Source organism: Homo sapiens, chromosome 1 (assembly GCF_000001405.40).
Source record: "Homo sapiens chromosome 1, GRCh38.p14 Primary Assembly".
In the NCBI taxonomy this organism is placed as follows: Eukaryota; Metazoa; Chordata; class Mammalia; order Primates; family Hominidae; genus Homo; species Homo sapiens.
In genome coordinates, this window is record NC_000001.11 from 186442201 (window position 1) to 186464638 (window position 22438).

Genomic DNA, 22438 nt, shown 5'->3' on the forward strand with positions numbered 1-22438 from the left:
CCATCTCAAAAAAAAAAAAAAAAGAAAAAGAAAAAGAAAAAAAAAAAAAACAGGGTGGGTTGTGGTGTAGAAAATAGTCAACTATGACACGTGTTTTTAAGAGGGAGAAAAAAAATAAGGAATGAGAATTGGCTATTAAGTTTGACTCTAAGTACTTGGAACAAAGGCCTGCTTGGAGTGAGATGAAAAAAAAAATTGGAAGTGAGGAATAAAGATGGTGACTTTAGATATCTCTTTTGAGAGACACAATTGTAAAGGAAAGAGAAGTGAGTGATAGCTGGAAAATTTAAGTTATAGGTGGGCGTATTTTAAACAGTGGGCTATTTAAAAATTCACATGTAAGCCAATATAAATAATACAACATAGAGAAGGAAGAAAGAGATGATGCAGAGAGGGGAGTCATAATTGCAGGAGAAATAATTACTACGTGGATAAAAAGAGTAGGATTCACAGCACAGTTTGATCAGTTGGCATTAGATAGAATGGACACTTCTTCCATCATGACATCAGCAGAAACAGTGTTTACTTCAGCTGTCCACTTTAGATCTGGTGATGGAAAGATGAAGTAGGTCTCATCTGATATCTTTTGTTTTCTCAATGAAGTATGAGTAAGATGAAATGTTTGAAGTGGAGGAAAGTGATATAAAAGGCTTATGGAAAGGAGACAAGCTATAACAATAGTCATTTAGGAGAGTGAAAAGTAGACTTTGTGGCAAATGTCTGATTTCAACATTAGGCTGCCACAGGAAATTGTGCAAACCTGCTTTAAACAGATTTCTCACAGGGAGCCCCTTTTTGGGTACTTATCAAGTACCATATCTTTAATTGCAGGCCATATTATGTCAGCACCATTATTTCTCTACTGTGATTCAGACACCTAGGAATTTCTTTTATCTTGCTCTTCATCTCATTGTTCATTTAAAGACATTTAAACATATTTTATTTTTCACTTCCACGTTTTTGTGTTGGAGGAGAGACTTCCAAATGTTTTCAAGGGAAATAAAAGTAGAACTTACACTTCACTTCTCTGATTCTCTGTTTTACTATTTATAAAATGGGAGTAATACTATCTATGTACAGATTTGTGGTTAAGAATTAGAGATGATATGTATAAAATACTGGCCCATAATAGGCAATCAACAAATGAATATTGTAATTTTATTACCACTAAATATTATTCTTACACCCAGAGAATAAAAACATATTGCTTCCTTTTTTAAATACAACTTTAACTTGGCACAGTGTTTCTAAGTTTCTTATGCATTAATTTGGTTGGAATATAAGATATTTTACTGAATGATATTTTGTATTTTGGGCTTTATAATGTTTTTAGGGTCTTGGTAATGTAATGCTTGAGAAAGAATAGACTTCAAATAGAAAATTTATTTTCTCATGAGATTTCATTTTTATTACACAAAGAAAATTATAATGAATAATGTAATTTGAAAAGTCCAAATAATAACAGTGATGAGGGAAAATGGAGTAAAAAAGACAAAACATAACTTGAAAGGGATTTTTGAAAAATGTCATAATATTATCCACATCCTCTTTGTCTACTAATAATGTTGCTGAAGACAGCTCTGTTTTGTAGTCAAGCATTGTATCAATTTGAGTAACTAATACTAAGAAATGCTAATAACTCGATTGTTGCATCAGTCATTTTTGTCAAGTTAGCATAGCCGTGCCCATACTCTGTGTTCACTAAAGCAATATAGATACTACCAAAACCATCATCCAATACCTAAAGGATAAACATGAGATATTGACATAGTGAATCTTCATTCAACATCTTCTTCTTCTATTTTGGTATGCTCTAGGACATGTACCTCTCTTTCAGGTAGTAACCCATATTCATTTAGGAAAGACTCCACATCCCCAGCAAAAAATTCTTCAGCAAACTGTTCAGCAACACTAATAAAATTGCTTATGAGTTCCCCACCTTTATAGATGAGCAGTGTAGGAAGTACATCTAAGGAAAAGCGGTCCCCAGCACCTGTATTCGAAGCTTTTATTTTACAAAACTTAACTATAGGGTATTCTGCTGCAAGGCATGTTAAACTACTGTTTAGAGCATCACAACCCTTAATACCATCTTCATAAATGTGAACAACAATTGTGGTGATCTTCAGTTCCTTTTCAATTGTTTCTAGGAATTGCTTTCCAGTTTCCAGCTCATACACAAACCCATATCTAGGCCCAAAACTCAGCTTCTGGTGCATATCCTGCATACACTGTCTACGGTATTTACGAAGGCAGTTTTCATCCTCTTTCTCTTTATGGATTAGTTCATATTCTTGAATGCTCATCTGAGAATAAAGAAATGATAGAAATTATTAAGTCAGAAGTTTTATTCCTTAGATATACCAAGCCCATTCTCAACCGAAGGAGTGTACTTTTGCTCTTTTTTTTCTGCCTGGACCACCTACCTTTCACTCCTGATGTGCCTTTCTCTTTCACCTCATTGAAGCTTTTGTTTAAATGTCACCTTCCTTGATTACTTTACCTAAAAAGGTCCCCATCTCACACTCTCCATCTTTATGCTGGTTTATTTTCTTTATAGCAACAAACACTATTATATCTTATAACTTACTGATTTTTTTGAATATCCAAAAAATTCAAGTAAGACAGCTTTTCCTACTATTTGGAGTTCATCAGATCATCCAAGAGGTTAATTTTTGGACCAGCAGCATCAGCATCACTTGGGAACTTCTAGGAAATGCAAATATTTGGGCACCACCCTAGGTTTACTGAATTAGAACCTATAAGAGTGAGGCTAAGTAATCCATATTTTAACAAGCCCTCCAGGGTATTATTATTCACTAGTTTGGGCTGAAGTAAGAAAAGGCCCAAATTCCATTTTCTAAGATAGCTACTTTTCATTGCAGTTGGAATAAAAAGTCACCTGCAGGGCCTTCCATAATAGCTACTCCATTATTAATGTATTTAACAGAATATTAAGCACCTATTCCCCCAACCAAAAAAGAAAAAAAGGTATAAAGGAACAATGGGGCATAGTGTGATTAATAGATGTGGAGCAGCTCAGAACCATGGATTTTTAAAGTAGAGGAGAATTGAGAACACGTGAAACTAATGTTTATGAAAAACATACCAGGTGTTGGGTACTTCACGTAGATTATGTTATCTAATCCTTACAGATAACCTCTGAGGTAGGTACTATTAGTGTCATTTTACAGAAGACACTGAGATTTAAGTTAAGTAAAAGTTTATGATGCTTTCATTACTTCTTTCTTTTGCTTCTGTTTCTTATATTTGTTTCCCTAATGTCCTCATTCTTTTCCTTATCATATTTTTTTCTGTTTTAAGATTACTGTCCCGGGATGGGTATGGGAGCTCATGCCTGTAATCCCAGCACTTTGGCAGGCCAAGGAAGGTGGATTGTTTGAGCCCAGGAGAACAGACTGGGCAACATAGTGAAACTCCATCTCTACAAAAAATGGTGGCACATGCCTGTAGTCCCAGCTACTTGGGAGGCTGTGGCAGGAGAATCGCTTGAACCCAGGAGGTAGGGGTTGCAGTGAGCCAAGATTGCGCCACTGCACTCCAGCTGGGGTGACAGAATGAGACTCTGTCTCAAAATGATAATAGTAATAATAATAATAATATTGTCCCAATTTAGTTTTAATCCTAAAAATTTCCAATGTTTCATATAATTTTTAAGTTGTTGCTATAGTTCTGTTAATTTAACAGATCAAACCACACAAATTTGACTTGAAGATGTATTTGAGCATTTATATGAAAACTTGTTTCATTCACATATTCAGGCATATGGATATGTAGGCATTCAGATACATTTCCAAAGTTTAACCTTAGCATAAAATTTTTAATAGTGATTATGTGTTACATTTGTGTAGTATTTTACATGTTTCAAAATAGTTTTACATTTATTTTTTCTTTACATGTTTTCAAAACAAGTGGAGCAGGTTTGTTACAATTCCCCAGATGGAATTCTCTGTATGTTGCTTTCTCATATTGTGAAACTATCTCTAGGTCAGCTCATGTATTCGTAACGAATTCTTTTCATAACTGTACCTGTTCTTAGTATAGAATGCCACAATAGGTGTTCACTTCATTTCCATTTTTTTTTGCCAGCGTAAGCAATATTGTAATGAATATATTTTGTAATAGTCTAAAGTGATTCTCTAGATTGATTTAGATTAGAAAACACATTGTAAATTATTTATTACTGCTTTTTGTATTATCTTACCTTTCTGCTGACTCGTTCCTTTGAATCTTTGCCATTCCTACTCTGAGGAGAAGACATTTGCCTGAGAATCTCCTTCTTGCTAGGTGGAATTGAATCACTGTCTTGACTCTCTAATTTAAACTTTCTCCAATCATTTATTACTCCTTTGGGTCCTGGAATGAAATTAAAAATAAATTGTTTTCCTTTTTATTTTCAAAAGGACTGTTGGCATAATTGAAATTTGTGTAAGTATTGTCATGGAATAAACTTATTGTCTCCTGCATCAGAAACAAACATCTTGTTTGGACTAGAAATTTCTGACTGCCCTGCTCATAAAAATATGCTCCCACATTAATCTTGTTAAATGGGTTTTGGTAAAGGATATTTCGGAAACATTTGTACTAATGAAAATATAAATTATGCACTTTGAACTACTGGCAAAAGGTTGGGGTTAATATATTTAAAAATTAGAGTCCTGATAGGATACTAGAATTTTGGAAAAAATAGCACTTTTATTACCTAAGAAAAAAACTTCAGCAACAAACTAAAATTGGCATTACAGTATTAATAAAGGAAACTGGGAATGTTGGGGAAACAAAATAACAATAGTATATAAAAAACAACTGGTGAGCAGGGGGCCTGACCTCAACAAAACTAAAATGGCTTTAGGAAAATTATTACGAGAACATCCCATTCTTCTAAGATTCTAGGCATATTTTGCAAACATAGAAAGAATAGGATTGGCAGATTATTTTTTTTTTTGAGATGGAGCCTTGCTCTGTTGCCCAGGCTGAAGTGTAGGGGCGTGATTTTGGCTCACCGCAACCTCCACTTCCTGGGTTCAAGTGATTCTCCTGCCTCAGTCTCCCGAGTAGCTGGGACTACAGGCGCATACCACCACGCCTGGCTGATTTTTGTATTTTTAGTAGAGATGGGATTTCACTATGTTGGCCAGGCTGGTCTTGAACTGCTGACCTCAAGTAATCTGCCCACCTCAGCCTCCCAGAGTGCTGGGATTACAAGTGTGAGCCACTGTGCCCGGCCAGATTGGCAGATTTAAGTAAAACTAATTAAATGAAGGATGATTCAACTGGAATTCTGATATTCAGTTGACCTGATGACTAACAACGTTATTCATTTAAGAAAGTCTTAAATTCTTTAAAACAAGGAATATTAAACTGACTATCCTTCACTAAAGCTTAGCTATATCTACACCTTTAATGTCCATATTCTATATCATATTCTATATGTGGATGTATTCCTTCTTTCTCCTCTATATTGCCTAATAATTTTTGTTTTATATATGATATATATTTAATATAAATTTGTTATGAATGTGTTTATATTATATGCAGGCAATCAAAGCTTTTTGTTTTCACATACAGTGTTCATATCAATATTTTAGATATGTTTTATGCATATGCAAAATATACATGTGTGTATGTTTGTTTAAAAAAGAGAATCCATTTTGTTCGTGTTTTCTACAGATGGTGGTGTATTATCTGCATTTTTCCTTACCTTGTTTTTTCTGTTTCATACTATATCTTGGAGATTTTTTCAGTATACACACATGAAAAGGTTCTTCCTTATTTAGAAAATTGAGGCATGGTGTTCCATTGTGTAGATATACATAATTGACTTAAACTGTTTAATCGTGATCTACATTGTTGTTTCCAGTTTTTTCTATGACATATGATGCTGAGTGAAGAATCTTGTGCATACATTTTTAACACTCTGTGCAGGTATAGTTATGGTTATATAAGTAAAATTCCCTGGTCAAAGGGCATATACATTACTAATTTTGATATTGCTAGGTTGCCTGTACAGAGATTGTACCAATTTACACTGCTATCAGCAATGTATGAGGGTGCCAAAAATGTGTTATTAAACTTACTTGCTTTCACTATAGTTTTCTGTGTTACTTTTTTCTGTTTCTTTTTTTCCCCATGAATAGTCTGTCCTATCTTTTGCTCATTGTTCTATTTGGTAATTAGTTTCTTTTCTTATCGATTTGTAGAAGCTCTTAATATATATTAGGAAACTGACACTGTCAACTGAGTTGCAAATGTTTTTCCCCAATTTGTTAAATGCTTTTTGACTTTTGTTCCTGGTGACCTTTACCAGACAGCAGATATTTCCTTCCTTTTTTTCCCTGTCTCCTACTTTCCCTCCATCCCTTCATCCATCCATCCTTCCTTCCTTTTTATAAATGAATTTACCAACCTTTTCTTCAATGGTCTTTTTGTTGTTGTTTTTGTTTTTGTCATAATTAGGAAGGTATTCCTCACATTGCTATTATAAAATAAATCTCCACACATTTTGGCTGGTACTCTTGTGAATTCTTTCAAACTTCTGGCTAAATTTAATGGCTCAATCCAAATTAAAAGAGAGAGGAAATTACCATTCAAATAAGATTTAGTAGAGTTAAATGTGAATTTTTAAATTTAAGTTTTAAGCTCTTAGGAGTGGCATATAGATAGCCAAACATAATTTAACAGATTAAGAAAACAGACTCTGGATGAAATGAAGTGTTAAGTTTTCTGGAGGAATACTGAAATTTATTTATTCAAAAAAATAAAGGGAATATCTTATCATTCCCTTTATTAGATGAAAAAAATGAAATTAAAGGCCATTTATTAACCTTTTGGTCTAATCTTGTTTACAATGAAAGTTCATACTGAGGGTGGGGTACAATCAGGAGAGAGGAAAGTGGCTTAATTATAGTGTAGATAAGAGGTCTTGTGATAGCTGGGCAGCAAGAAATTACCAGTAATTGGTGTTTTTGTTTTTTTACTCTTTGACATCTAAATAAAACTGTTAGGAATTATTTGATTTCAAAAATTAATTTGCCCGCTCAAATATTTTTTAGATTAGCATAACAATTTATATAAAGATATTACTTAAAGTACATACTGAATAGTGTCAATAAGAACATTAGATATTGCCATATTTAATTTTAATTTAATAATTATTTTTTCTTCTAGCTTTGCTTGCCTGTATGTGTGGCCTGTCCTTCAAAGTCTTCCTCCAAACTTTGGCTTTTGGCTTCTTCCATTTTAGGGACTGGATTTGATATAATCTATAGGAGGAACAAAGAAATAATAATGACACAAGAATTCCAGGATGTACATACATATATATAGAGATAAATATATAGGTACATGCATATTTATAGTCTCCTGCTGCCAGATTCCATAAGTAGGCTAAGGATAATCACTCAGTGGTAAAGTAAGTGGTAAAGTATTTAGAATGTTTCTGTCCGCAATGTAAAAGGACATTAATTTAACATGTGTTATTAAAGATGTCTGGACTTAAGGATTTTATATAATTCATCATTTGTCTTTTCTTAACTCAAGCCTTCCAGTTAAGTCTATGTGGTTAGTGAACATTATTTATTACTGATTTTCCTAATTTCCTAATATTATGTGAAATTTGAATATATGACGTAATATATGTTACTTATTTCATATAATAAAAATTAAATTAATAATTATATACTTGCTATGAACACTATGTGTCAGGCATTGTTTAAATTATTTTATGTGTCAAAACTCATTTAATTCTCACATAGCTATATGTGGTAGGAACAATTGTTAATGACATGTTGTAACCGAGGAAGCTGAAGGGCAGAGAGTTTAAGTTACTTGCCCAAGATCATACAATAAGTGGTGGAGCAAAGATTTGAACCTACATTTTCTGACTTTGGAGCCAACTCTTAATCATTACACTATTATGGAAATTAACATTCTATAATAGAGTCATTTTTCTCAGTATGATTTGGCAAATCAAATCTTTGAATTGGCATTAAAAAATGATGGTCTAAGGAACACTATTCAATAGCATCTCTCCATACCATGGGACAAGTTTTCATGACAACAGTAGCCACCAAGCAAATGGAAATAGCCAGTAGGTAAGCCTATAGTATTTTTTTTTTTAAGTTTTTTGAGAGAGGGTCTAACTCTGTCTCCCAGGCTTCATTAAGTGCGATGGTGCTGTTTTATTTAGCTCACTGCAGCCTCAAACTTCTGGGCTCAAGTGACCTTACCACGTCAGTCTCCTGAGCGGCGGGGACTACAGGTGTGTGTTTGCGCCACCACGCCCTGCTAATGTTTTTTTTTATTTTTTGGTATGTTGCCCAGGCTAGTGTTGAACTTCTGGCCTCAAGTGATCCTCCCATCTTGGCCTCTCAAAATGCTGGGATTATAGGATTCAGCCACCACACCCTGCCGGTTTATAGTATTTTTGACAGGCTAAAATAGAAAATCACTAAAAGCACTTGGATTTTTATTCATACGAAACTCCTTGGTGCCCGCATGTAGAATCTATTCTTTCATTCTATCTGGTTCACACTCATATCAAATCTATTTCCTTTTTTAGCTTTGGACTATCCAGAAAACTCAATTATTATACATACTAACATATTCCCTCAGGGGTCCATATAGTTGTGATTTTCCTGAAGTTTTCAAGTCAGGGAGGATATACTAATCGTAGATAAACTATCTTATTTTTATACTTTATTCTTTCACTTTTTTTGCTTTGCCTCCTTCTTTCGAAGTCAGTTTTAGGCACTATATCGCACAGTTTATACTTTGAAACTCATCTTAGTTTTCTATTGATTTACACTTCAATCCTGCATTTGGTCTGTGTGGTGCTTTCCCAAGGCGCAGGGTGGTAACACAGAACTCTTTCTTGATTTCTCTTTTGCCTTTACCTTTGGTCTCAACACTTGGACTGGTCCTGTAATTTTGTTTCTCTTTTTGCAATCCCTATCCAGAATCACTGGAGGTCAAATGTCTTTGCCAATTTGAGTTTTTCCACTTGAACAAGAAAAGACTGTCAAGGGAAAGCCAATCAATTTCACAATGTTTAGGTAAGTATAAATGTAATAAAGAATATTACATTTGAATGGATTTAGTAATTAAAAAGCATAATGGAAAATGGAAAGTAAAAACTGCTGTACAGAAAAGCCATCTTATTACTTAGTGTAATTATTTATGAATAAATTTTGCATCTCAAAAGACATGAAAATTTTTACTTCGAAAGAAAACTACAAAACAAAGAAATGGAAATTTATTTGATAATTTCAATAGCTTTTCAGTTCCCAGAAAAATAGAGACTCAATCCAGTCTCTTTACTTTTTAAGACTGGATTGTTAATTTGGGGTAGCTACTATTCTCAGTAAATATACATAAGTTCAAGAAAATCTAAAAATAATTTTATTTCAGATGCTGAAGATACAGGGCACAGCTTCCTTCTTGAATTGCTTGTTGTTTACCTAGTTGACAATCTACTGGGAAAAAGAAATTCCTTTTCCAGAAAAGGTTTTCACCAATTTCAAGGAATCCTTTAATGAAAAGATAATCCAGTTACTTAGGACAAAATGTATTTGTTGATTGGATTAATATATGTTGAGAATAGACTATATGCTAGGCATTTTCCTGGGCTCTGAATTACATGAAGAACAAAACTCTTCCAGTATGGTGCTCACTAATACTAAGACTTAAATCAACTGGGTTGCCTGTTTAAGTAAAGGACAGAGTCCATCCTTATCTAATGCCTCCATTTGAGTTAGAGTACAAGGATTGGCAAAAATTGCTACTGTTTACTGCCAGGGAAGCAATGAACAGATTGAAAGAAAAATATTAAGACATGAGTGTGTTTGTTTGCACTGCTTAAAGCACCTAGAGGAAGACACAAGTAGAATATTATGAGCCATTAATAGATTTCATCTACCTTCCTATTAATTTATCCTGTCACCAACTCACTCTGGGGTTTTCTGATTATCCCAAAAATCTTATCTTTTTCAAAATGTACACATTAGCATCATACAATTAATTTTTTTTTGTCTTTTTTAGACAGAATCTCACTCTGTTGCCCAGGCTGGAGTGCAGTGGCATAATCTCCCCTCACTGCAACCTCTGCCTCCCAGGTTCAAGAATTCTTGTGCCTCAGCCTTCCAACTAGCTGGGATTACAGGCATGGGCCACCACACCTGGCTAATTTTTGTATTTTTAGTAGAGATGGGGTTTCACCATGTTGTCCAGGCTGGTCTCGATCGCCTGACCACAAGTGAACCGCCTGCCTTGGCCTCCCAAAAGTGCTGGGATTACAGGCATAAGGCACCGTGCCCAGCTGGTACAAGTAATTTAATTGAAATATTTGCAAGGTGCTTCAATTTCGGCACATAATAACTGCTCTATGAGTCTGTTAGATAAAATAAAAATACATCTTTTACATATGTGTATGCAATATATCAGTCATTTAAAAAATATAAACATTTCATTTACAATGCTATTATTTCATGGTTAAAAGATTTCATGTCTACTTTAGGCTGAAACATTTAAAATGACAATAGGATTATTACAGGTCTTTGGGTAAGCACATCTTTGTGTGATTGGAAATTGGTAATAAAGTAAGGCAAGAAGGCAGAAGGTAAAAATCTTGCCTTCACCAAGATTTACTTTGGTTCAAATGAATTATTTTCCACATCACATAATTATGAAAATCTGTGATTTTGTACTTTTTTATTTTAAATAGTTATAATACTGTTTCAATGAAAACCTGTGTTAAGTAAAAATTGTATATGGATCCTTTGACAGAATAATGTGCATTTAAAAGAATTTTATCACCCTCTTCGAAAGTAATAGTAAAAGCTAATATTGGTGAGAAATACAGCTTAAAATAGAATTTTACCAAGTTAGGGTTTTATTTTCCTCTTAATTTAGGTTTTTAATAATTTTAAATAGTACTTTATATAGGATAACACTTCTCAAATCTTGTCCTCAAAATTCTAACACCTCCCAACTATGGTTTAGTAATTACCAAGAAATAAAATGATTCAAATATAAATGGTCCTGCATGTTGTTCCTGTTTCATTTATGATAGCGATGATCTGGAATACAAAGGAAGTGAGTAAAATTTTTACGCATTAGTTTTAAAAGACTCTTTTAAAAAAACAAATCTACCCCTAAACATTTCATTATCGTCATTATCATTGGTCACATGACAATTGTTAGTCACTTCAAACCTGTTTAATCAGAATATCTAGTTTTAAATTAACTTGTATATTCTCAGTATTGCTTAAGAAGAGCTTAGCTTTCAAGACTAGCTATTGTAGTTTATTGGTAGATTTTCAAATAGTTGGGATTATCTAATCACTGTATGATATAGACTGACTTCTCTCCTAGCATCCACAACAACTTATAGCATTTATTTTTACATGTTTTGCTCCACTATTGTAAATTCTTTGAGGATGGAGGCAATTTTTTACTTCTTGTTGTACCTCTTATAATCGTTTCATACATTGTAAATACTTCATAAATGACAGTGGCAAATTTTAAAGAACCTACTATGTGCGGGGTACTCTAGATACTATTTTTAATCCACACAAAACTATTATCCTTGTTTTTCAGAGGTGAATTGTAGACTCTGAGAGATTGAGTGACTTGCCAGAGCTCACAAAGGTAGTATAGAGCCAGGTTTCAAATCTCTGACTCTCAAATCTCCAAAATTTCTATTTTTTCCATTACGCCATTCCACTTCAATAAAATGCTTAATGAATGAATGTGTTAACCAAAGAAGCCGACCTAATTTTTTTGTATATGCATTAAAACCAAGATGAGGAAATGGAAAGCAATAAATCACCATGTCTCTAAATTCCTTGAGACAGTACTTATTTGAATGATATATTTTCGCTTTGGATTAAACCTCATTAGTTTATACTGAATGTAATAGAAGAGTCTGTTTATTTCTTTCTTTTCTTTCTTTTTTTTTTTTTTTTTTTTTTTGAGACAGAGTCTTGCTCCGTAGCCCAGGCTGGAGTACAGTGGTGCGATCTTACTCACTGCTACTTCTGCCTCCCGGGTCCCTGTTCAAGCAATTCTCCTGCCTCAGCCTCCCAAGTAGCTGGGATTACAGGCACACGCCACTATGCCCAGCTAATTTTTGTATTTTTAGTAGACACGGGGTTTCACCATGTTGGCCAGGCTGGTCTTGAACTCCTGACCTTGCGATCCACCCTCAGCCTCCCAAAGTGGCTGGGATTACAGTCGTGAGCCACCGCACCTGGCCTATTTCATGTTAATGGAATTAATTTTAACTGACTAATAACGACTCTGGAAGGTCAGTATAAAAGACATACTGTTGGTTTTTGACAATCATATGAATTCACTGAGAACTTATCATCAGTCCTGCATCTCTAGGTCATTTGTAAAAGCAAGTGTAATATGCAGTATGCATCAATTATACATAAAAGTAAAGCTAGGAAATGTTCTTTATAGAACTACTCTTACATGTGGCCAAATTATGGAACCATTACACTGTGAGCTTTGTGTGGAGATTTATATTGTAAAGTGAGATATTTCACTCATGGATTCATATCAACCAATAAAAAAATTAATCCTATATTCCAAACAATAGTATTTGATTTTTAAAATGTATTTGAAGTTACAATTCTACAGATTCAGGGATTTTTAAGATCAATTTCTAAAATAAGTCTATTTGTTTCTTAAGCTTTTTATGATCTAGCCCAAGTTTTGTATAAAATCTCAGTGTGTGGCTTATGTTTGAAAACTAACACTTCATTCTCTCAAACTTTCTGCCACTCTTCTATTTGTCAGAAGTCATAAATAAACACAGTTGCTAGGTACCTTTGTCTGCTAGGGCTGCTATAACGAAATATAGACTGTGTGGCTTAAAAAACAGAAGTTAATTTTCTCATAGTTCCAGAGGCTAAAAGTCTCTAATCAAGATCTAGTAAGGCTGGTTTCTGGTGCCGGCCTTCTTCCTGGCTTGCAGATGGCTGCCTTCTCACTGTGACCTCACATGACAGAGAGTGGGTTAGCTCCCCGGTGTCTTTTCTTGTAATTCTATGGGATCAGAGCCATACCCTTTGACCTCATTTAACTTTAATTTCTTCTACAAAGCCCCTATTTCTAAATACTGTCATATTGGGGGTTAGGGGCTCAATGTATGAATTTTGAGGGAATATAATTCAGTTCATAGCTCCTGGTTCTGACTTTTGCAAAGAATGACTTTACACTGATGCTGTCCACTATTTCTCTATCTCCATAGCCTGCCTTTTCTTTAATTTCTAAAGCTTTGAGCCTCTGGATTTTTCAGGGTTCCCCACCTACCCTTTAAAATTGCAGTTAGGGAAATGAGGCATACCTAAAATTAACTCTTTCATTTTTTTTGACTATTCACTAGTTCTTTCCATGCCTGTGGACCCCCAATCCTGGGATGCCACAGAAGAGCCCACAAAAATATAGGCCAGTGGCCGGGCGCAGTGGCTCACTCCTGTAGTCCCAGCCCTTTGGGAGGCCGAGGCGGGCGGATCACGAGGTCAGGAGATCGAGACCGTCCTGGCTAACACGGTGAAACCCCGTCTCTACTAAAAAAAAAAAAAAAAAAAAAAAAATTAGCCGGGCGTGGTGGCGGGTGCCTGTAGTTCCAGCTACTCGGGAGGCTGAGGCAGGAGAATGGCGTAGACCTGGGAGGCGGAGTTTGCAGTGAGCCGAGATTGCGCCACTGCACTCCAGCCTGGGCAACAGAGCGCGACTCCGTCTCAAAAAAAAAAAAAAAAAAAAAAAATATATATATATATATATATATATATATATATGCATGCCAGTATTCCTCTGCATGTTAGGCAATACAAATGCCAGTTACTTATTTGGCCAGTTACTGGCTTGTTTTGATGTTAAGGAAAATAATAGTATTCTATACTAACTGCAGTAAAATTAAGGGTATTGCTCTAAAAAAGTAAATCAGAAAAGTGGTACACAGATTTAGTATACAGCATATATACTCACTTTAGTCCAGGTCAGATCAAGTAACTAGTAGAACATCTAAAAAATATATCACATGCAATGTTTTCCACACAGAGAAAAAATATTTTTAGCATTTCAATAACTGTTACTATCCCTAGCAAACTAAAAGGTTGATGCTCAGTAGAAACAATAGATTTTATTTAGAAGGGTTGAGGTTCAAGTAAATGTATCCTTATTCCTTTTTTCTTTTTGCAAATTATGATGAAAGGCTTTCGCAGTCTTATTCTCATACTGGTCTCCCCAAGTACAAAGTAAAGAAATTAAACAGCCAAACATTAAATTATCTATTTACCTATAGCATACCTGACATCTTTCCATGGATGTACAAAATGCAGAAAACATAGAGCATTGAAGTAGCTCCAGTGTAAAATTTTCAGAGTAAGATTGTTTTTTGTTTTGTTAAATTTAAAATAAACAATATTTTTTCTTTCGTTTACATGAGAGCATATATTCATATTCCCTTTTGGAAACACATAGAATAAGAAACTGTTTCAGAGAAGGTGCTGCACTAAAAAGGCATTGTAATGACTGAACATGATTAAACATGGGATAAAAATAGCAGACTGGAAATCAAGTACGGAAGTGAAATGCCTCTTAAATCAACTGAAGTGAAATTTAGTAAGTTATCTATCTTGAAGGCACTACCTGGCACATACTATGCTTTGAGATGGCTAAAACTAAGAAAAACTGCTAAGTGGGCAAAATTGACAGACATTCTACTTCATTCTATTGCTAGAAATCTACATTTGGTATCTTGATCTGTGCCCCACGGAGTGTCACACTGTGTTCTAGTCACCCTTGCAGGGCTTTACGTCCTACTTTTCTCTACCTCTAACCATACATCTCCTTAGGTCTCTGCTTTCCTGTTTTCTAAGGTGACTGTGAGCTAATCTGATCAACTAAGCTAAGCTAATATGCTCACCAATACAGACACATTAATATGAAGTGTTTTAACCCCTTCCAAGAATATCTTCCCCAATGTCATATTGGACTCTATAGAAAGCAGTTGTGCCTTTCCTTTCTTGTTAAAATAAATTATCAGTGGTGAGAATTTCATATCAGATAGGTTTGACAACACCATGTCAGATCATGAAAGTATTACTGGGCTTGTGGAGACTTTCAGTGTCTCCACAAGAGACACACAGGGGATTTTATGCCTCATAACAATTAATTTCTTGAATTAATTGGAATTGGAAAATGGGAATGATTATTTAATTTGAATGTAGCATACTTGTTTTCCAATGAATTGTCTTCCCTACCCATGATTTTGCGGATCATAAGTGATTTTCTGTTTGATTTTCCCTTTTGCATTTATGTTGTAATGCTTTATATATCTTTTCTGAATTTCAGTTCTCTAATGGAGTAAGACAATACTTAGGATTTTTGTTGCCACCTTCAGTTATGTTAGTTGTTAATTTTGGGATAGGTCAATTTTTACATTTGGTGGTATCATAATAAGAGTTTTCTTTAAAATTAAATTTTGGGACGCATGAGTGGAATACAGGACACATGGTCCTCAAAATGGCTATAACAAATTAGAAAATTGTTGGCAGTCAGCAAATGTTTGTTTTCTTTCTTTTAAATACAAAACATTCATCCTGATGCTGTTGAAAATTTTCCTTACTTTATGCCTGACTTCCCCCCACTCCCAGTATCTAGATAAAGTTCATAAGAACTTTGATAGAAAAACTATGATAGAAATTTTGATATAAGACACTATAGAACTGATGTAATATTTTCTGTTTCTACCCTACTCAAATAGTTTTGCTTTTTCAACAAATGGGACTGGGCAGGGGAGTTGTAGGGAGCCTTTTAAACAATTAGTATGTCAGGAATGCATAGCAAATATCAATTTCCTATCTGTTATCCTGTATCATCAGTAAAAAAAAATTTACTCTGGAAATATGAGCTTTAAAAGTCATAACTGAATTCTTGTTCCTAGTGAAAAGACATCCACCTATCCAAGTTTGCTATTATGACATACAGATATTCTTTTTTTTTTTTTTTTTTTTTTTTTAGAAAGAAGGTTGAGACAAGAGCACAACTTTTAATACAAAATAAAAAGAATTAAGTGGCATCTGGGACAAAAAATTAGGGAACTAAAATAATTCAAAGGAAAGAGAAAAAGTCTTGGTCATGTTTGCCAAGCTTTGAATATTAGACCTTGCTTTTTTCCCAGAGATTGTCAGTGCACGCTGGTTGTGCAATATCAACCAGGATTAGGCAGGTGTGGGAGCCACAGAAGCCACTCCACCACACTTTTAAGTCATTTCATTAGAGTCGCCTCAGAAGTCCTGGTGAGACAATCCTAGGAGTCCTCTTTGGCTGTCTTGCTTGATATTCTCAAGCAAGTCCATTCTGCTAGACGCCTGCATCTGGGTACTCCTCCCTTTTTAACTCCAGTCCCCACAGGGTCATTTAAGAAAATGTATGCATGTTTCTGATTCATAACTATATTATGATGATTATTCTTATAAACCCTTTTGACGTCTAAAAGCCTTAGAGCCACTCAACAGTCCTGTTTGGGCCAGTCTCCTGGAATATGAGAAAAGATGAAGAATGGGAGTGTTATGGAGGGCATACGCCCCTCTGATCATCACCACAAAGAGTGGAGCCCTTCATGGTCCCAGCTGAAAGCCTGGAGAGGCTGCGCGCGGTGGCTCACGCCTGTAATCCCAACGCTTTGAGAGGCCAAGGCAGGTGGATCACTTGAGCGCAGGAATTCAAGACCAGCCTGGGCAACATGGCAAAACCCCATCTCTACAAAAAGTACAAAAATTAACCGGGCGTGGTGGTGGGTGCCTGTAGTCCCAGATACTCCGGAGGCTGACGCAGGAGAATCGCTTGAACCTGGGAGGCGCAGGTTGCAGTGAGCCGACATCTCGCCACTGCACTCCAGCCTGGGGGACAGAATGAGACTCCAACTCAAAAAAAGAAAAAAAGAAAAAGAAAGCCTGGGGATATTTACCAGGACCCTTCCTCCTTTTCAGGCCCTAGATTCTAAGATCCTGCTTTGCAGATCTGAAGTGGGACCCAGGAATCTTTAACAAGCTCTAAGCCTGCCGAGTGCCTGCGATTGCAGGCACGCGCCGCCACGCCTGACTGGTTTTGGTGGAGACGGGGTTTCGCTGTGTTGGCCGGGTCTCCAGCCCCTAACCGCGAGTGATCCGCCAGCCTTGGCCTCCCGAGGTGCCGGGATTGCAGACATACAGATATTCTTTTACTTGTTCTGGAGAAAATAGAATTTTAGAAATTCATAACAGCCATCTTTTTTAAAGTATCTGTTTATCTTGTAAATATACATATTCCTGTACATATTGTTTGAATTCCATTACAGACATTATTATGAATGGTTCATATATATTTTGATAATGACTTATATAATATCAAATCCACTTATAAACATAGTATTTGGGCAGAAATTGTCATGATGAATTAGATGATCTCTAAAGTTTTTTCTAGCTTTAATATGAGGTGATTCTAAGTAGCAGGTACAATGGACAATATGTGTGTGTGTGTATATATATATATATATATATATATATATTTAAAATGGACTCTATAGTTAGAAGCTATTTTTGCAGTTAATAAAAATACTCCATTGCAAATCAATTACTGCACTCATTTTCATGATGCAAACTGTAAGGTTTATTAGTAATAATAATAACCTCCATGGAAACAAAATAGAAAAAAAAAAACCAATTGAAAGAAAATTTTCACTGAATTTAAGAAATATCAACAAACTCTGTGTTCTTTTCTTTTAAAAACATTATTTCTGTTTCATTAAATTTCTAAAGTAACCTTTCAAAACAAACATTATTTCTACTTTAAAAATTAAAAACCACCAACAAACCACCGCCACAACAACATACTACTAAGGAAAAGCCTCAAAACATGCCTTAGCGCCGGATGAATACAGCAGTCCTCACTTATCTGAGGTTTTTCTTTCTGTGATTACAGTTACCCTTGGTCAACCTTGGTCCAAAAATATTAGATGAAAAATTCCAGAGATAAACAATTTGCAAGTTTTAGATTTGCAGTGTACTGAGTAGCTTGATGAAATCTCACACTATCCTGCTCTCTCTGGCCTGGAACATGAAACATCTCTTTGTATACCATATCCACACCATATGCATTACTGTCTTGGTTATCAGATTGACTATTGCAGTGCTTGTGTTCAAGTAACCCTTATTTACTTAATAAGGTCCCAAAGCGCAAGTGTTGTGATGGTAGCATATTGTTATAAAGGTTCTATTTTATTATTAGTGATTATGGTTAACCTCTGACTGTGTCTAATTTATAAATTAAACTTTATCACAGGTATGTATGTTCAGGAAAACAACATAGTATACACACAAGGTTCAGTTTTATCTATGGTTTTAGGCATCCAGTGGGGGTCCTGGAACATATCCCCCTTGGATAAGGGGCAACTACCGCACTCCTTTTCCAACTTGGGAGCCAGATCTTCAAACATAAAGTGCAAGGACTCATCATTTATTCTCTTTAGTTCTCCCTTCACTCAAAGGAAATTTAAAATTGCAAAATGAGTTCTCCATTCATGGTCTTATTTTAACAGTCTAGAATATCAGGCTCAAAATTGCGTGTTTACTCTGAATCTGTATTAGTGAAGATGACTGGTGGAAATCACTGAAAGAGAGAAGGATACGCTGTATTTAATTGTCTTTATAGTAGATAATTCAAAACCTTATGTACTTTGAACTATTTTACATTAACACAATAATACATAAACAGTGAATCACCATTCTTTCCCCTAAGGTAAAATTTTTAAAATTATATTATCAAAAGGACTACTTGTGGACTCACAGTTTGGATCTCTGTGCCTGGTGTCCTTGTTGAGTGGGTGAGAATCCCTGTCTACTGAACTCGTCTTGAACTTCAATAGGTTTAAGCTCAGATTTAAAATCTCCAGATATTGATGACCCTTGCAGAAATAGCTCTGAACAAGTAATAGGATTGACAGAATTAGCAAGGCCAGTTCATTAATAATAAGGCAAAACCAAACAAAGAGTAGTCAGTTTATATTTTACAGAACACATTGAATAGATGAGAGACAGAGGTCATTATTAGTACTATTTATCGCAATAACATGAGTTGTATTCATTAGTCCCATAATCATCTACTGAGCACCTACTTTGTGTGAAACAAGCAGTAGCTAGGCACTAGGGTACAAAGACAAATAAACCCTATTTCCTATATCGTGAGGCTTGCAGTCTAGTGGGGGAGACAGGTAAGTAAAAAGATAATCACAATGAAGTGCTATGATTACTACAACATTGGGAGGAATAAGAGAGATACTATGATTTTCATCTTCTCTTACTACAGGCTTTTAATACAATTTTTTCAGATGGGCTGTCTTTACAGATCTACTTGCTTTCTGGATTCTAGTTTTATTGGCATTTTCTCCTTTTCACTTCTCCTTATTGTTTCTGGTTTTTACCATTAAAAATTCCTTTCCTGCTGTTTTTTAATGGAGTTTTGAGATGTAGGGGAAGTAGATGCATGTGTTTAATCTTCCATCTTTTCCTAACATCTTTCATCCTCACAGCCAAATTCTCATCTAACTTTGCCAAAGTAGGAGATTTAATTTACTCTAAGCTTAAAACTGGAAATTTTTAATTAGCAAGAGGACAAAATTTTTAATATTAATGGCAATTAAAATGAACACATTTAGATTTTTAAATTATAAGGTTTAGTCATATGTAGCTTCACCCAGAAACTTTAAGTGGATCTTAATGCAATTTAAACAGTGATAGTGTCTAAATAAATTTTAATAGTTATGTTTTATTATACTAAATTAATTTGTCATTTATTTACTCTTTGTTAGTAAGAGGGAAACCTGTCACATTTCAGAACTTTGTTTGCTTATATATTTTTTATTGTAGAATTTGATTTCAAGAATAGAGAAGAGTACATAAAATTTACAATATTTAAGAGAGTCACAACCATAAATATTTTCAAAGAGATTCTTCCAGAAATCAAAGTATTTTCTAAATTAACTTTCATTTTCATCCTTAAATCAAATTTTTACCTCCCATTTAGCAGGTTTCATGTTCCAGTTTGTGTGCTATACATATGCTTTTCAACAGAGTTTCTCAGGGCAATTCACTTTCAGTTTTTATGAACTGAGTGTTTTCTCTCTAGCTAAAGAATCTAGAATGTAGTCAGGTGCAATACAAATGTAACTTAAAAGATGCCTTCTGATGGCAAATGTGAAGAAATTTAATATTTCAGTTTGATGATAAAAAATGTCATAGTGGTTTTAACATTCAAAAAATATGTTTTAAGTTACTGTCAAATATAGCTTGGTACTCATATGTTCAAATATGTAATATAGGCACAAGCATAGAGACTTAACGGTAAAAAAAAAATTACTATAGCAATTCCTATCCTACCCCCACCTTCCCAACACAGATATTTCCATAATTTGCTTTTTATTTTGTGCTATCTCTGGCACCTGTTCACTGGAGGGATTTGGGGTCATTACGGACATCACACACTTGCCTACAATTTGGACAAGCATATCTGATCTAATTGCTTCAATTATGAATTGAGTAATTTTTGTAGATCATGAAAACTTGTCAAGAGTCAAAGCCCAAAAGGTCATTATTTCACACATATGATTCTTGATTGATGTAAAAACATTTAAAAGTATTAGAATTATATGTTGATATAGTGTTTAGATTTTTATATATGATTTTACATCCAATTTTAAGAATACTAAATACTTTACAAGGCACAAACATTATAAACCAGCTGAAAATAATCTTAGAAAACAGAAATAAAAATATTAATAATTAGGACACTTTCTGAGTGCTCATCATGCCAGGTCAGGTACTAATTGTTTACTTCGCATAATCTTTACAACAATCCCCTGAGGTAGGTCAAGTATAATTTTATAGATGAGGAGACAGGCTTGGATAAGTTTTATAACTTATCTAACTGATGCATTTATTCCCCAATATTAGTGGAATGCCTACTGTGTGAAAGCACTCTTCTGTGGACAAGGTACTTCTATATACAGCAGCAAGAAAACAGTTTTTATGTTTCAAATGTTGACATTATGTCCATGCAGACCCCAGCGTTCGAATTCAGGTATGACTTAATTCCATGGTCCACACTGTTAACCAGTAAAGTCTCCTGTTTAGGGCAGATTAAATTACCTGCTCTAAAAAGATGAAATTACAGAATTTTCTTTAAATCCTAAACAGCCTTCAGTGTAGATTCTTCTGGTTCCAAGGCTGTCATATATATCTACTTGCTCTTTTTTTTTTTCTTTTTGAGCGTGAGAAAGTTAATTGTAAGGACAGAATTGAAAGAAAACCATGAATTCCTTAGGAGTTCAAGGACAGCTATACACTCTAGTCCTAGGAGAATGGAATGTCAGCTCAAAATCTTGGAGGATACAATGCTGGAGTAAACACCTTAGCAGCTGGGAGGGGTCTGTTGATCTTCCCAGTAGGGCTCAAATACCAAGATTGCGGCTTTCCATCCCACTAACCGCATGCACTGCCTGCCCCCAACCCTGCTCCTCCCGCCGTGGCTGATCTTCTGTCACTAGTTAATACTCTTCCTAAGGCCTTCCATATCACCTTTACTTTACAGCCTGTGCTTCCTCAATATATATTTTCTTATTTGTTCTGTTTTCCATAACCCCCCTCATGGCCTTGACTCTACTCAAGACACCTATCTATAGAAGTTTTTTAAGCCTCCCATCTATTGATAACAGCTTGGCTATTTCCATGTTTCCAAATGAGTATTCTGGGAGAATATGATTTGTTTAGCCGAAACCATTTTGCTTCATTATGCCATTGGCATAATTTGGCCAAGGTCACACCCTTGGTCTAATCAGCTTTAGCCAGATGGCAAGGTTATGTGATCTACATAGGGCTCCCTTTCAGTAGGGGCTGGGGAACTTTTAGTAATAAAGGGTGTAAATGAAGCAGGCGCTGTGGCAGACATCGTTTTTACTAAAAATAAACCTTTCCTTACTTTGAACTTGAAAACATGTCCCTCAGTCTTCAAATAGCAGAATTAAATTTAGAGCTGGAAGGGCATGTTTGGAAACAAGACCATACTGCTGAAAAGACTTACCAGAATGAGATAGTCCTGTAATTTCTTCTGTTTAGGATTTTATTTCCCTTTTCCAATATGCGTTCTACTCTTTCTTGTCTGAATTTTATTCTTCTTGGTTGAGAAGAGGAAAGCAAGGTAAGAATTCCAGTTTCTCTTTCTCTTAGCAATTTATTACTCATGTAAAGAGGAGACATATCTTCCTTCATTGTCTTCTTACTATATGCATAATTTTAAATCTTTTCAAACATATTTTTGAAACCTATTTTACTTTGGATTATAGTATTCTTAATTTTATTTTATCATATTTGAT

At 34.9% G+C, this 22438-nt stretch overlaps 1 protein-coding gene and 1 long non-coding RNA gene across 3 annotated transcripts in view; one reads left to right on the top strand and one right to left on the bottom strand.

Moving 5' to 3' along the window:
• The window catches only part of PDC-AS1 (PDC antisense RNA 1), a 35131-nt gene that overhangs the window by 7040 nt on the left and 5653 nt on the right, over positions 1-22438 (top strand). The window contains exon 3 of the long non-coding RNA NR_126002.1: positions 8979-9074. This is a non-coding gene — a long non-coding RNA (PDC antisense RNA 1). The remainder of the gene's footprint in view (positions 1-8978; positions 9075-22438) is intronic.
• PDC (phosducin) lies at positions 1366-18914 on the bottom strand. 2 transcript variants are annotated; one of them, NM_002597.5, is made up of 4 exons: positions 18859-18914; positions 7199-7283; positions 4226-4377; positions 1366-2306 (listed from the first exon to the last, which is right to left on the bottom strand). In NM_002597.5, the coding sequence occupies exons 2-4, from the start codon at positions 7257-7259 to the stop codon at positions 1779-1781; spliced, it is 741 nt and encodes a 246-aa protein (NP_002588.3). In that variant the 5' UTR covers positions 7260-7283; positions 18859-18914; the 3' UTR covers positions 1366-1778. The 2 variants fall into 2 exon arrangements, with proteins under 2 accessions (NP_002588.3, NP_072098.1); NM_022576.4 differs by lacking the exons at positions 7199-7283; positions 18859-18914 and adding an exon at positions 6428-6524.